Source organism: Homo sapiens, chromosome 11 (genome assembly GCF_000001405.40).
Source record: "Homo sapiens chromosome 11, GRCh38.p14 Primary Assembly".
Lineage (NCBI taxonomy): Eukaryota > Metazoa > Chordata > Mammalia > Primates > Hominidae > Homo > Homo sapiens.
Genome location: NC_000011.10, coordinates 88,373,111 through 88,389,378, shown reverse-complemented (window position 1 = coordinate 88,389,378; position 16,268 = coordinate 88,373,111). Strand labels below are relative to the sequence as shown.

The 16,268-nt window shown below is 35.7% G+C and overlaps 1 long non-coding RNA gene across 4 annotated transcripts in view; it reads right to left on the bottom strand.

The window, feature by feature from the left end:
• Window positions 1-16,268, bottom strand: part of LOC101929174 (uncharacterized) — a 90,309-nt gene that overhangs the window by 38,814 nt on the left and 35,227 nt on the right. For all 4 annotated transcript variants that reach the window (NR_188508.1, NR_188511.1, NR_188510.1 and 1 more), the window contains exon 2: window positions 16,052-16,142. This is a non-coding gene — a long non-coding RNA (uncharacterized LOC101929174). The remainder of the gene's footprint in view (window positions 1-16,051; window positions 16,143-16,268) is intronic.

Below are 16,268 nucleotides of genomic sequence, written 5' to 3'. Positions count from 1 at the left end.
AATATATTTTCTGTACTTATCATTCATGCAGTATTTTACTAGAAGGTTTTTCTGTTTTAAAACAGTGTGAAAGCATTGCACTAGAGTATCTGGGTTCCCTTAATCACACATAGAAGATAAAAAGGAAACTAGAGAGTCTCACTGCATTTGGTCTTCACTATAATGAAGGCAAATTCTGAAAATACTCAAGGATCTTTTTTGAAATACAAGTATTCTTCAGTGCAACAGAAATTACTCCAATTTGCCAATCTCCTTTAATATTGTATCTAATAATATTTATCATTTAATAATAGTTTAAACCTACCTAGAAATAACTTTAATTCTTTTATAGACAGGGACAATTCAAAAAACTCATTTATGCTTCTGAAAAAAACACCCAACACTTTGGAAACACAAATATTTACAAAAGATTTGCTAGATAAATTATGACAAATATTGTAGCTATAGTTACTTTTTGATCACTGGGCAGATTAAATACAAATACATATGAAGATTTTTCAGGTCACAAGGACATTCATTTGTTACCTATTTATCATGAGCTCTCAGTGGGTTCAGCACCACGCAAAATAATTTAAAAATGGTCAAATCTCTAAAGAAGGAGTTCATATTCTATCTGGAAAGACACAAAGAAGAGAAAAAATAATGCAATGATATTTGTACAAGTATAAAGATAAAGAGAGAGGGTTCTGTGGAGCCCATAAAAGGGCACATAAGCCAGTGTGGGAGTTTTAGATAAAGCTTTCTATAGGAGGTGAGGTTAGAGCTACAAAGCTTATTCCCATTGATTATTTTAAAACTGCCTTTTGATGTAGCCTAGATGAACTTCAGCCTATAAAGTTCCCTTTGTTGCATTAACCTCAATGCAAGATCATCTAACAAGCTCTATGCCTTATTTAGATAAGCATTAGTGGTCAGATTTTTGAATCATGTCATCATTTATTCCTTCCACACCTCATTTAATAAGCATTAATGGTTTTGTTTTTGTTTTTGTATTTTTTCATGTCTGTTTATTATAAATATTTGGGAGCTTTCCTGTTATAGGAGAAGGTAGAAAAGATCTGAAGTTAGTCTAGATTTTAGAATTGGATCCTCCACTTATTAGTAACTTGACCTTGGCAATCCATGTAAATATTTACAGTTGCTTCATTTGTAAAATTGACATAAACATATCTTTCTAGCTAGTTGTGTATCATAGAATTAAGCAATATATGATCATATCTTTGTCATGTTTAATATGTTTCCTAGATGTTGAAACTCTTTGATAATGAAGTGCATCTTTCTGTTATGTTTAATATGTTTTCTAGATGTTAAAACTGATAATGAAGTGCATACTTTCTCTCTTTTTTTTTTTTTTTGAGATGGAGTCTCTCACTGTCACCCAATCTGCCTCCCAGGTTCAAGCAATTCTCTGCCTCAGCCTCCTGAGTAGCTGGCATTACAGGTGCCCGCCACACCACGCCCGGCTAATTTTTGTATTTTTGGTAGAGACAGGGTTTCCCCATCTTGGCCAGGCTGGTCTTGAACTCCTGACCTCATGATCCATCCGCCTTGGCCTCCCAAAGTGCTGAGATTATTAGGCAGGAGCCACTGCACCTGGCCAGGTGCATACTTTCATCATTTTAAAATAATGAACTTTTTTCTCAAAGTGATGACAAGCTGGTTCTAATAGTATTATAATGCATCTGTACTGGCAAAGTGGTAAGTGGTCAATCTATCCAAATGTTATTTGCAAAGGTAATACAAATCTAGTATGCTTCTTATATGAGAAGTGTGAGAGATGAGCCAATATAAATAAACTAATAGACCATCATTTTATGAGTTTGAAAATGTGTAAATCATTCCAAGCTAGAGGAAATCAGAGAAAGCTTCATGGATGAGTAACATTTGTTCTGTAAGGTAGATATATTTTCAACCAATGGAACAATATAAGAAAGATATAGGGATAGAGTAAGACGTCTTTTGTTGTTAGCAAATTCTCATTGGAACACACAGTTAATGGAAGCGTAGATATTTACATATGAATTAGGGTCTGAGCTGTAACGTTAAGTCAAGAAGCTTAGATTTTGTGCAAATGATAATATAAGAGCATATTTAAATAACTGAGTGACAGACTTAAATCTGAAACTTAGGGGAATTAAAATTATTCTTGCAAGAGATTTGGGGAGAGGAGAAAAACTGCGGGATTGGATAAAATTGTCAAATGCAGACTACCTACTAAAATCTACTTTTTAAATACTGTTCACTCATTCAATAAACTTATATTGAGGATCTCTTATGTTCCAGGCAAGTTGTAGGTTAATTCCTTATTATCAATTTGTTTCATGTCTTTTCCTAGTTTATGGGTATTATTTTAAAAATAAAAATGACTGCCCATATCTTGACTTCTAAATACCATTCTCCATGAAATGAAATGAGCACTCATTGGAGAAATGACTGGCTCATGGGCTGGAGCAGAGAAACTACAAGATGAATCTAGAACATCTTTTAGTAACAGAAAGTACGAAGAGTCTAAATAATGATAGGGCTTGTCAAAGGACACAGGGGCCAGCTCTAAGCAGTTCCCTTGGGCAAACCTAGAAAAACTAGAACACTGCCAGGCCCAGTGGCTCACGCTTGTAATTCCAGCACTTTGGGAGGCTGAGGCGGGTGGACCACCTGAGGTCAAGTGCAAGACCAGCCTGACCAACATGCGTCATGGTGGGCACCTGTAATCCCAGCTACTTGGGAGGCTGAGGCAGGAGAATCGCTTCAACCGGGAAGGCGGAGGTTGCGGTGAGCCGAGATCGCACCGTTGCACTCCAACCTGGGCAACAAGAACGAAACTCCGTCTTAATTAAAAAAAAAAAAAAAAAAAAAAAGAACATTAAAATAATGATAGCAAAGGATTATAGCCCATGAATAAAGAATTCTTAAGTTCACACTGATATAAATAAAATATGTAAATATATAAATTTAAAAAATGGAAAGTTTGTCCTCCCAGTGGATAACGAAATGGATAAGGAAATATAAAATTACAAAATTACAAGTTGTCAACCAGCATAATAATTGATCCAGGCAAAATGTGTCAATACTTGCTAAAGCTAGTGGATAAAATTTGAGAGAATATAGGATATTTACAAATATACAAAGTATTTCCCCATAGCAACATTATGTAAAAAGTGGAAAAAATGTAATTTTCAGTTCGGAAATGTAGCAATCAAGGAATCAAAGTTAACGTCACAAGTAATGTGATTAATAGATGCCATATACCATGCTGATACACACAAACATATGAAACACCCAAATTGAGAGATATCTACAATTAAATGATCTATATTCTTCAAGAAAATTTCAAGATAAGCCAGTTAGGATATAGAAGCCTGAAAAATCACATCACTTTCACCCAAGCAATGAGAAAAAGTAGAAAAAAGTCTACAAATTGTAATTGTATTTGAGCCAATCAGAGAACTGAGATCACAAAGCAATCAAGGAAATGGAATCCTAAGGAGTGATGGGTTCCTGATGAGAGATGGGACACATGAAATATGTTACATTTGGGAGCACACAGAAGGAAGAGATGATCATCATAAAAGCAGTTAGAAGAATACAACTGATATTTTAATGAATTTCTAAAAGCTAGATGTAGATCAGTGTGAATTTAATACCCTGGGAGTCCTAGATACATGGGAAGCCCATTCTTTCTCACTGGTTTGTTTGTTTCACTGCCCCTTGCAGAGCAGGGATACCCCACAGGCAGTGTGCCCAGAGTAGCCCTCACTAGTTTGTTTTTTTTGTTTTTGTTTTTGTTTTTTGTTTTTTGTTTTTTGAGACAGAATTTTGCTCTTGTTGCCCAGACTGGAGTGCAATGGCACAATCTGGGCCCACTGTAACCTCCACCTCCTCGGTTCAAGCAATTCTTCCACCTCAGCCTCCCAAGCAGCTGGGATTAGAGGCATGTGCCACCATGCCAGGCTAATTTTGTATTTTCAGTAGAGACCGACTTTCTCCATGTTGGTCAGGCTGGTCTGGAACTTCTGACCTCAGGTGATCCACCTGCCTCAGCCTCCCAAAGTGCTGGAATTACAGGCATGAGCCACTGCACCTGGCCTCACTAGTTGTTTTCCATGTGCATCCATCACGTGTTCATGAGAAAGGTGGGGACGGGGACAGAGACCTGAAAGAGCTGCATTAGTGACATGGGATGCTGCGCCTGGCTAGGTGTGTGGGTGGAGGAGGAGCACTTGGAGAAGCCCATTTTGTACTCTAGGCCCTGCATGAGTATAAGGTGGGGATTGGCTGCCACTTGGGAATAGAAAGGAATGCTGAGGCTTCTGTGGACAGGGACTAGGACAGGGACTATGTAAGTTTGAGGCTGCAGCAGGAGAGCCAAGAAAATTCTGCTCCCGCCTTACTCTCAGTAACAAACATCACCAGCCTATCACTAAGGGAAGGGCAAGGGCACAGAGAGAAACCACCAATGTGGTTTAGGAGTGCAGGCCTACAGAAAGCCAACGGTGGAACAGGAATTCTAGGAGAAAGCCTCTAGCACTCTGGGCCATGCATTAAGCACAAGATAGTGGTGGTTTGCACTAAAGGAATTTGAAGTCTGTGGTACACAGAAGGAACCTAGCAACCGAAAAGCCCAAAACCAGCTCAGCAACAGACTAGATTTACTCAACCCTTCCCTTCAAATTGCCTGATAGAAGAAAAAACTGAAAACTTCCAGGCATAAATTTTAGTCACCTCGTCTCAGTTTTATTCATCTAGTTTCAATTTCTTCCTTTTACTAACAATGTCTGACATTTATCTAAACATTATGGAACACATAAAGCAAGTAAAAGGACATATGCTCAAGAAAGAAAAGAAATGAAGAGAAGCAGACATGGAGACACCTCAGAGGTTGACAGTCAGACAGGGAGCTTAAAATAACAATGACTAATACGCTGAAGGAATCGGGTAGTGGAAAAGGTGAATCCATGCATGAAAAGATGGGAGATATTCAGAAGGAAGGAGGAAAGTTTAAAAAGAATCAAATGGAAATGCTGAAAATAAAAACACAATATCAGAAATGAAGAATTACTTCAACAGGCTTTTCAGCAGAATAGTCAGAGAAATGGAAAGCAGCAATAACTTGAAGATAATTAAAACACAAAGAGGAAAAAAAGAGCTAAAAGGCAAACAGAAGCATGGAAGAGTTGCGAAACCAGACAAAATCATTTAATATACACATACTTGGAATCTCAGGAGGAGAAGAAAGAATGAAGCAGAAGAAATATTTGAAGAGATAAAGGCCAAGACTTTTTCAAATATAATGAAAGATAATAAACCAGAGTTCCTGAAGCTTCAGAGAAACCTAAGCAGCAGGACAAATTTATTTTAAAGAGATTTCAATTATATATTAAAGATATTTACAAATATTAAATCTGTTCTATACACCCACATTGTAAATTATATTTTAAAGGCAATTATATTTTAAAGACATATAAAAAACTAAAGTCTGTTATATTTACCCACATTATTACTGTGTCCAAATGCCTTTGTGTGTCTATGCATGTGCATGAGTGTGTCTATGCATGTACATGAGTGTGTCTGTGTGTTTTCCTTCAGAAGTTCATCTGATATCATGCTCAGTTTGCCAGATCTTGCTGTAACATCTCTTTTCATGCAAATTGGCTGGCAATAATTTATCTCAGTTTTTGTCGTCTGAGAAGCACATTGCTTTCTTATTTGCAAGATGTTTTCACAGGGCATCATTGTAGGTGGTGAGTTGCTGTTTCTGTGTTTGCTTTCCATATGTCAAATAAGCAACTTTATTGTCTTCTGTCTGGCCTCGTTTCAGAAGCCAAGTCTGCTATTTCATATCTGCTTCCTGGTAGAAATTGTTTCTTTTCTCTTTGATTGACTTCAAGATTTTCCCTTTACCTTTGTTTTCTTAATCATTTGACCGTGAAGAGCTAGAGTTTTTCTTCATATTTATCCTGAAACTCTGAAATTAGTATATCAGATAACACATCTCATTTATTTTTTGAGGCCAGCATTGTTCTAGCAGCAAAACAAGATACTCTTAAAAAAAGATTAATATTAATAATTTAAAAAAATGAGCAAGTCAAATCAGAAATGTATTTTAAGAAAGGAAAATATATCATGAACAAATAAGGGATTACTATAGAATTCAAGGTTTGGGGCCTGGCGTAGTGGCTCACACCTGTAATCCCAGCACTTTGGGAGGCTGAGGCCAGTGGATCACCTGAGGTCACGAGTTGGAGATCAGCCTGGCCAACATGGTGAAACCCTATCTCTACTAAAAATACAAAAATTAGCCAGGCATGGTGGTGCATCCCTGTAATCCCAGCTACTCAGGAGGCTAAGGCAGGAGAACCAGGAAGCAGAGGTTGCAGTGAGCCCAGATGGCAATACTGCACTCAAGCCAGAATGACAGAGTGAGACTCCAACTCAAAAAAGAAAAAAAAAAAAAATTCAAGTTTTGTTTACTATTTGAAATCAATCAACCAGTAAATTTCTATACTATTACTGGACTGAATAAGAAAAGCCATAAGATTATTTCATTAAATGCAGAAATAACAATTGACAAAATTCAACATACCTTTAAGATAAAAATAAACTAAGTAAAGTAGATACAAGGATATATGGGTTATTTATTTATTCCTGGTGAAATTTGTTACTTCGTTCTTTTAAAGAATTTGTTCACTTAATCTATGTGGTGAAGTTTTTGACATAAAGCTGTTCAAAATATTTTCTTATATTCTGTTAAATTTAGAACAATATATATTTATGCTTCCTCCTGTCCTTTCATTTCTGATATTAGTAAAATGTGCTAACTCCTGCTGTTAGAGATTTACCAAATGTATTGAATTTTGACAAGAAGCAGTTGTTGGTTTCACTAGTTTTTTCTATTGGTTTTCCAATTTAATTTTATTCATTTATTTTCTTGTCTTTATTATTTGTTTCCATTTCTTACTTTGGGTTTAATTTGTTCTTCTTTTGTTAGTTTATTTTAGATAGCATTATTGAGGTATAACTGATATACAATAAAATGTATATATTTAATGTATACAGTTTATGAGTTTTGACATAGCATATGCTCATGAAACCATCATCACAATCAATGTAATGCACATATCCACCATTTCCAAAAGTTTCCTATGTCCCATTGTTTTATTGTTTGGTTGTGGGTTTCCTTTTTGTGATAAAAACACTTAACATAAAATTTGCCCTCAACAATTTTTCAGTGCATAATATAGTATTGTTAACTATAACTATTATTCTATAGTGCAGATCTCTAGAACTAATTCATCTTGCATAACAAAAGCCTTATATCAATTGAACAACAAGTCCACAACTCCCTGTCCCCCTGCTCCTTGGTAACCACTATTCTACTACCTGTTTTTGAGTTTGACTATTTTAGATACCTCATATAAGTGAAATCATGTAGTATTTATCTTTCTGTGACTAGCTTATTTCACTTAGCATAATGTCCTTCAAGGTCATCCATGTTGTGGCAAATGGCAGAATTTCCTTTTTTTTTAAGGCTTAATAATATTCTACTGTATGCAAAAAAAATCACAATTGTTTTCTATCCATTCATCTTTCAATAGGTATTTCAGTTGCTTCCATAATTTAGCCATTGTGAGTGATGTAATAAATACAGGAGTACAAATATCCCTTAGAGATCCTTATTTCAATTCTTTAGAGTATATTCCCAGAAGTAGGATTGCTAAATTATGTGATAGTTTTATTTTCAATTTTTTGAAGAACCTCCCTACTGTGTCCCATAGCAGCTGCATTATTTTACTTTCTCACCAACAGTGTAAAAAGGTTCCAAGTATTATACCTTCTCACCAAAATTCAACTTTTGTTTGTTTGGTGGTATGAGGTGATATCTCACTTCAGTTTGATTTGTATTTCCTTGGTTGTCAGTGATGCTGAGCATCTATTCAGATAACTGCTGACCTTTTATTTGTATGCCTCTATCAGAAAAAGTATCTATTCAGGTTTTTGACCATATTTTAATTAAGTCATACTTTTTTGCTATTGAGTTATAGTAGTTCCTTGTATATTTTATATACTAACTCCTTATACATGGCTTGCAAATATTTTCTCTCATTCTGTAGGTCACCTCTTTACTCTGTTGATTGTTTCCTTTCTTGTGCAGACAACCTTTTGTTTCATATAGTCTCACTTGTCTATTTTTGCTTTTATTTCTTGTGCTTTTGGTGTCATAGCCAGGAATCATTGTCAGGACCAATGTCATGGAGATTTCTCCCTGTGTTTTCTTTCAGGAGTTACACAGTTTCAGATCTTACATTTAAGTCTTTACTCCATTTTTAGTTTATTTCTGTGTACAGTGTAAGATAGAAAGCCTATTTCATTATTTTGCTTGTTGACACCCAGTTTTCCCAACACAATTTGTTAAGAAGACTATTTTTTCTCCATTGTGTATTATTGGTACTCTTTCAAATATCTGTTAACCACATACGTGTCGGTTTAATTCTTGGCTCTATATTCTGTTCAATTGGTCTTATATAACTGTCTGTATGTCAGTACCATAGAGTTTTAATTACTGTAGTTGTGTAATATATTTTGAAATCAGGAAGTATGATAACTCTAGCTTTATTCTTTCTACTCCAGGGTGCTTTGGCTATTCTGGGTCTTTTGTGGTTCCATATGAATTTTAAAATTGTTTTCTCTATTTCTCTAACAAATGCCATTGGGATTTTGATGGCAATAGCATGAAATCTACAGATTGCTTTGGGTAGAATGGGCATTTTAACAATATTAAGTCTTCCAATCCATAAACATGGGATATGTTCCCATTTGTTTGTGCCTTTAATCTCTTTCATTAATACTTTGTTGTTTTCTGTGTGTAAGTCTTTCACTTCCTTGGTTAAGTTTATTCCTAATTGTTTTAGTCTTTTTGATGCTATCATAAATGAGATAGTTTTCCTAATTTTCTTTGTGGATAGTTCATTGTTACTGCCTAAAAATGTTACTGAGTTTTTTAGGTTAATTCTGTATTCTGCAACTTTACTGAATTCATTTATCGGCTTTAACAGTTTTTGGTGGTCTTTATGATTTTCTACATATAAGGTAGTATGATATTCATATTATCTCCATTATTAGTTCATTAGCTATAACTTTAAGTTTCTTAGCAGCTGTTCTGAAGATTATAATAAACATTTATAACAGTACCACAAAGTATTAGAGAAACTATATGAAAATATTCTGCTGTAAATTTCTTTCATTATATGTGAAGTACAAAAACAACATTTAAAGATTAATCATGATAAAGATACATACTATAAACCTTATTGCTACTGTGAAGCAATAGCAACACAGGTACTGTTTAGTCCTACGAATGTTATCTAGTTTCCTCTATGCACACAAAGAAGTCATGAGGGCACACAGCCAGATGGTCATCACCTACAAGCCAAAAGAAGAGGCCACAGAATGAAACCTACCTTGCCAGCACCTTAATCTTGGACTTCCCACCCTACAGAACTGTAAGAAATAAATTTTTGTTGTTTAAACCACCCATCTATGATATTTTATTATGGGAGACTAATACAGGTATTAACAGAAATCTTCTTAAACAGATGGAATTACAATTTACAGAAAATCTCTCCATGTTACATAAGGCTAAATATAGATGAATGTAAGAACCTTCCTTATGTCATTTGCCAATAACTACAGAGAATAATGTTAAGGAAGAAAATACTAGTAAATGTAAAATTAGCAAAAGATTTTTAAACATTAAAATAATAAAGAAAGCTATTTAACAGAAGCATAAAGCAGTGGGCTTCAAGTTTAGGAGCATGTAAATAAAATTGGCTACAGGAATTACATGTGTAGTGTTGCTCTAACATTCTGTATGGTAGTATAGAGAAAGAAAGTCCATTATTAGAATTTAATGTTGTTGATGATTTAGAAGGATAAGAATTTATATTGTATTTATGTTTCCTACAATACTTAGCATAGCATTCTGCATATTTTAACTGCTCGTTAGTATGTTAATTCTATTTAATTTTATTCCTTTCGATTACACAATTACGCATTGCTTTCACCTTGTAATCTTTTTTAAAAGGCAAAACACTGTATTACAATATGAGAATATGGAACAATAAAATGAGAACACACTTAAGATAACAGACCTTGGATGGATTCCACTGTGGAGAATGTAAGCAGGTCATTTCACCTCTTTAGAGTTCTGTTTCATCTTCAGGAAAACAACAGGGTTGGCAGGGTGATCCTATAATCTCATGCATTTATTCATTAAATGACACTGTTTTTTGAGTACCCATTTTATTACAAACATTAAATTAGGCTCATATAATAAATCTCTGGCTTCATGAAACTTTATGAAACTAGCTTTATTTAGATTTTTTTCCTTTTTTTTTTTTTTTTTTTTTTTGAGAAAGGGTCTTGCTCTGTCACCAAGGCTGGACAGGCTACAATGCAGTGGTGTGATCACAGCTCACTTCAGTCTCAATCTCCCAGGATCAGGCCATCCTATCGCCTCAGCCCTCCAGTAGCTGGGACTACAGATGGATGCTACTACACTCAGCTATTCTTTTCTGTATTTTTTTAGACGGGGTTTCACCTTTTGCTCAGGCTGGTCTTGAACTCCTCAGCTCAAGTGATCCATCTGCCTTGGCCTCTCAAAGTACTGGGATTACAGGCGTGAGCCATCATTCCTGGCCAGAATTTTTAGAATTATTATTTCATCCCATTGCATCATCAGAAACCTTAGCATCTTGCAATACAGTATATGTTGGGACAAAACGATTATGGTGTATAGGATACTGTGAAGCAGAGGCTGGAAAGCTGAAAATCACATTATCCAGATTCCCTTGAAGCTGAGATTCTGGATATGTTTATGTTTCACCAATCAGATGCACAAGAGTGAAATCTGAATTTAAATTGTTTTAAGTACATAGAAAGGCCAGGTGTGAGACCTCTATTTTGCTGGTGTGGGTCACAACAAAACAGAGAGGGTATGGAACTTTCTGTAGCAGCAGCTTCTCAATTCAATAATCAGATTCCTGATTATGATGGAAAGAGAAAAACCCTTAGAGACACAGTTCTGTTATGTGGTTTTCCAAGTGATTTTTGGAAGTTCTGCCTAAAAGTCTGTTATTTCATTTATTCCCCAAATTCTGTTAGCCATTTAGCACACATTTATAATTTATTTCTCCTAGAATTATCTACAGTAGAGTCAGTACTCTGCAACCAAACACTGACTGACAGAATCAACTAATACAAGAGAACATATACTTGGGAATAACTGTATAATAGTCCAAGTCAAAAGTTTCCTGGCTGATCTGAAATTATTAGTGAACTGAGAGATGTTTGCATAAGTGTTTAAGAATAATGGATTTCTTTTCAGTAGGACTTCTGAACATTTTTAAATGGTTAATTTATCTTTTAAATCACACTATACAGCATTTCCTCCAATGTATTTGACCAGGAAATTAACTGTTCATTTCAGGGGAAATCTATTAACAGCTGGAGAAACACAGAGTTTGTGAAACATTGGTCTCATGTATTGCCCAGCAATCTGAGCCAACAACCTTTGCTTTTGTTCCAAGTCTATTTGTTCCAAGCAATTTATTTAGACTTTTATTTTCCATACATCTTATTGTCATGCTATAGTAAGTGTTTTTCTAAATAGGAATATCAATCTCCAGCCAGTTGAAAACAGTATACATTCTTTCATTATAAGTTGATGACATTATTTGCTTGAACAAATAAATTCCTTTTCAGCCTGCATAAAATTAAAAAAATTAGATGTAAAGGCAAAACCAGTTTATTTCCAGAGCTGACAGAAATGAAAGGGAAAATAATGAGAAGATAAATAGATTTTGTCTTTATTTTCCAGTTTTTTTGTAGATTTAAATGAGTTTAATGGGGGTAAGACTTGTAAAAGTCAGAAGGAACTCTGAATGTGTTTGAGATGAGAAAATATTTAACTACTAGAAAATCTTGGGCACTGAGATCATCCTTAGCTATACAAAATTAATGACATCATTGTGTAATGTGCTAAGTACTATCATTTTCTAGAGTAAAGAGAGGAGTAATTTTAGCTTACAATGGTAAGGAAAGCAATCGCAGAAGATGCGATGTTAAAGTTCCAGTAGGCTTATTACAGCTAGAGTTGACTAGGGTAGAATAGAATGTAAACAAGATGATTGAGGGTGGGTCAGTGTGATTGCAGACCTGGATATAATTTCTACAGATCTAATGAATTCTGAAAAGCATAATCAAGTCTCACTACTTGACTATGTATCATAATGTAAATCAAATGCTTAGAAAAGTGAAATAAAATCTGTGTCAGTATTATGATTAATTACCATGAATAAACTTAGATGATATTGTTACAATTACAAAATTATAAAATTTTAGAATTAAAAAGAATTTTTGAAACTATGTTATTCAAATCCTATACCCATCTTTCCACCTAAAATTTAATTCAGTTCAAAAGAAGAGGGGAAAAAATGGTAGCTATATTAGACTAAGTTGGCCACAATAAAAAAGTTAAAAAAAGATAGGCTAAAAAATACTCAAAGAAATAATGGCTAAAAATGTCCCAAATGTGGCAAAAGACACAAACCTACATATTTAAAAAGCTGAACAAACCCCAAAGATGAACATTGTATAATAGAGGCTGTTGATGTCCTGCCAATATTCTCTTTGCTACCCACTGCCCTGACCCCTCCAGTTGCTGGAAGTAGCAGTGTTGTCTACCACCCACAGTTTCTCCCTTCTGTAAAGAACTGTCCTTGGTCAATGGCAGCCTCGTTGCTCAGGAGGTCAGCTAACCTCACTGTCCATCCCTTGGACCTTGGCAAAAAAAAAAAAAAACCCAAAAAAAAAAATGACTGATGGAGGAGTACCAAAGGCCACTGCCTTACTCCAAGGGGATATTTACACTGTAGCAGACTTTTCTCCAGAGATTCTGTGAAATTAGAATGAAGCTAGTCTCAATCTGAGACAATATTTTGTTAGCTTTTTTCCCATGCCCATCTTGCTGTCTCTACTCACCTCCTCATAAGAATATGGAGAATAGCTAGAACTGTATTAATGAAGCAGTAGGATGCTAACTACAATAGTCAGGGAAGCCCTCCTGGGGATAAAATGCTTAGGCTTCCATATGAATGAAAAGGAACTAGCAGGAGCAAGTTCTCTTTCTGTTCAAGAAAAAAACACAGTGTTGTTGAAAAACAGTGAGTAAGAGGAAAAGTGAAAGAAGTTATGATCAGAGAGGTGGTCAGAAGCCATATAGACCACGGTAGGAAATATATATATATATGTAAAATATATGTATGTGTATATATATATGTGTATGTGTATTATATGTGTATATATATACATATACACACACACATATATATAATACATATATACCTATACACGCACACATATATATAACACACACACATATATATATATTTAAAAGTACATTGGCTGCTCTGTGAGGATGGAGTTTAGAAAAGCAGGAGTTGAAGCACAAAGACCAGTTAGGATGCTAATATGATAATCCAAATGGCTTGGATGCACATAGACATGCTGCAAAAGGAAAGATTCAGAATATACTTGAGAGGTACAAATGATGTCACTTGCTGCTGCATTGGGCATGGGAAGTGAGCAGAAGAAAGCAATCAAAAACAACTCCTAAGTTTTTGGCTTGAGCAACTGAGCAGATAATGGTATCTTCTACTGAGATGAGGGAGTTTATGGGAGAAATAGATTTGCTGAAGGTGGATGAGAGTTAACAGTTCTTTTTTGGAAATGATAAATTTGAAATGCCTATTGATATTCAAAGTGAAAATGTCATGAATTTAGTTGTGTATGCAAGGCTGGAGCTCACAAAAGATGTCCAGATGGAAATTTGGAAGACATCAGCATACAAGTAGTACTTAAAACCCTATTACTGGAGGATCTTTTCTATAGGAAAAAATGTAAGAAGGCAACAGAAAGAATCTGAGACTCAACCCTAAAGTACATCAACAGTTAGACATTGAATACGATAATTTAAGCCAGAAAAGGAGACAGAATGAGGTCTCAGTGAGGCAGAAAAAGAAATGTGCGGTGTTAAGGAAGGCAGAATAAATAAATGTTTCAAGAAAGCAGGAGTGACTGCTGGTCAAGAGTTCTTAATAGGCTAAGTCAATGGTAGAGAAGTAACCACTATACTTGTTCTCTTGACTAGAGCTGATTGAGGGTAGTAATGGGAACAAAGACCAGGGTAGGTGTATGTTGAGGAGGGAGTGAGGTGGGTGGCAGGTGGCGGAGAGACAGGGAGTCAAAGAGGTTTATTTGTGCTTCTTTTTATATAACTACTAGAGAGTCTAAATGATAAAGCAAATAATTTAATAAAGAGTAAAATAGCTGATGAGAGAGACAGAAACACACGAAGATTAGAGGATTCGTGAAAATATAAAAGAGTGGAATCAAGAGCTAAAGAAGAGAAGGGGCCTTCAAAGAAATAGCATCTCATCTCCCATAACAAAAGGAAAATAATAATAATTTCTAAATTATCCTTGCTAGTATGTAAAATTACCATGCATTTTTGTATACTGGCCTTATCAATCTTTTTTATTTTTATGTTTCAGTTTGAATAATTTCTATGGACATCTTCCAGTTTACTTTTTTTCTCAGCTGCATGCAGTCTGATTATAAATATTCAATGTTATTTCCCTTATCTTTTTTTAATTTCTAGCAATTCCACTTGATTATATTTATTGTTTCTATCTCTATGCTGAAATTCATCTCTTTGTGCATGTCATTCTCCTTTTTCTTTAGGTCCTTTATTATATTAATCATAGTTATTTAAATGTTCCAGTCGGAGAGTTTCAACTATAGTTTCAGCTATCAGACTCAACTCTGAATCTGATTTTTCTTGCTTCTTTTTTTTTTTTTTGTTTGTTTGTTTGTTTGTTTTTTGAGATGGAGTCTCACTCTGTCACCCAGGCTGGAGTACAGTGGTGCTATATTGGCTCACTGCAAGCTCCGCCTCCCAGGTTCACACCATTCTCTTGCCTCAGCCTCCCGAGTAGCTGGGACTACAGGCACCTGCCACCACGCCCGGCTAATTTTTTGTATTTTTTAGTAGAGACGGGGTTTCACCATGTTAGCCAAGATGGTCTTGATCTCCGGACCTCATGATCCGCCCGCCTTGGCCTCCCAGAGTGCTGGGATTCTTGCTTCTTATTCTTGACAATGGGGTCATTCTTTCTTGCTTTTGTGGGTACAGAACATAATTGTTACTAAATACTGGTAATTGTATGTGGAAAAACAGCAGATACAAAAGTAAATAGTATTTACTCTTGGAAATGTGTGTACCTCTACTTCTGAGTTGAGTCAATCTAGTTAGTAGTTAGACTAGATTTGGTAATTGTTTTTGCTATTGTTACCTGAAGTGTACCACACACTTCCAATTCCTCCAGTGATAGAATATGTACATTGTGCTTAGAGTGGTTCCTTGGGTACCAGAACGTTTTTTTCAGTATTGCTGATCCATCCCCTGCTTTCAGCCATTCTCTACCACAGAGAGAATCTCTTACCATCCTTTGTCCTGGTCCCAGTTGGTAGACTATTATTGCTGGTTACTCAGTTTGAAGCTCTTGGAGAGAAGATGAGATTCTTGGCTCTAATGACCCAGTCTCAGTCTTAGGCAGATCCTATACACCCGGGCCTTGAAGCTTTGGCTTTTCAGCATTCCTGCTCCCCTTTTCCCCCTGGATCCTGCCCATACTCCAGTTGTAGCAGACCTCTGCTTTGTATCAGTCCAGGAACCTGGGCCCAAAAGTTTTCTTTCAAATTTCCAAGAGGTAGAGATATTTTAATTCTACCCTTCTCCCAGAAGGAATGGGTCTTTTTCTGGGTCCTGGAGAAAGAAGGTTTTCCTACCTTTTATGTTATCACTTTCATATAAGCAGAGGACCTTTTTCTGGCCCTTAATGTTGGAGGGGTTGTTGCCTCTTTCTCAGTGGCTTAGTAATTTGTTTTATTTGAGACATGAATCCAGAGAAGTGAGTGGTAATTTCCAACTTACCCCAGTGGCAATCAGTCACTATCTGCTCATCTGCACACTGGTGCCACCAAGGGTCCTGCATCCAGTCTTCTGCATGAACACCTCTGGAAGCCTGTGGAAAAGAACATGTGAGTTAGGATCAACTCCTTTTGTGTTTAGGTTCTCATGGTCATGAATAAGCTATCCTACACATTGCTTTAAAGAATTTGGTAACATTGTAACTGATTTTTAACATTGT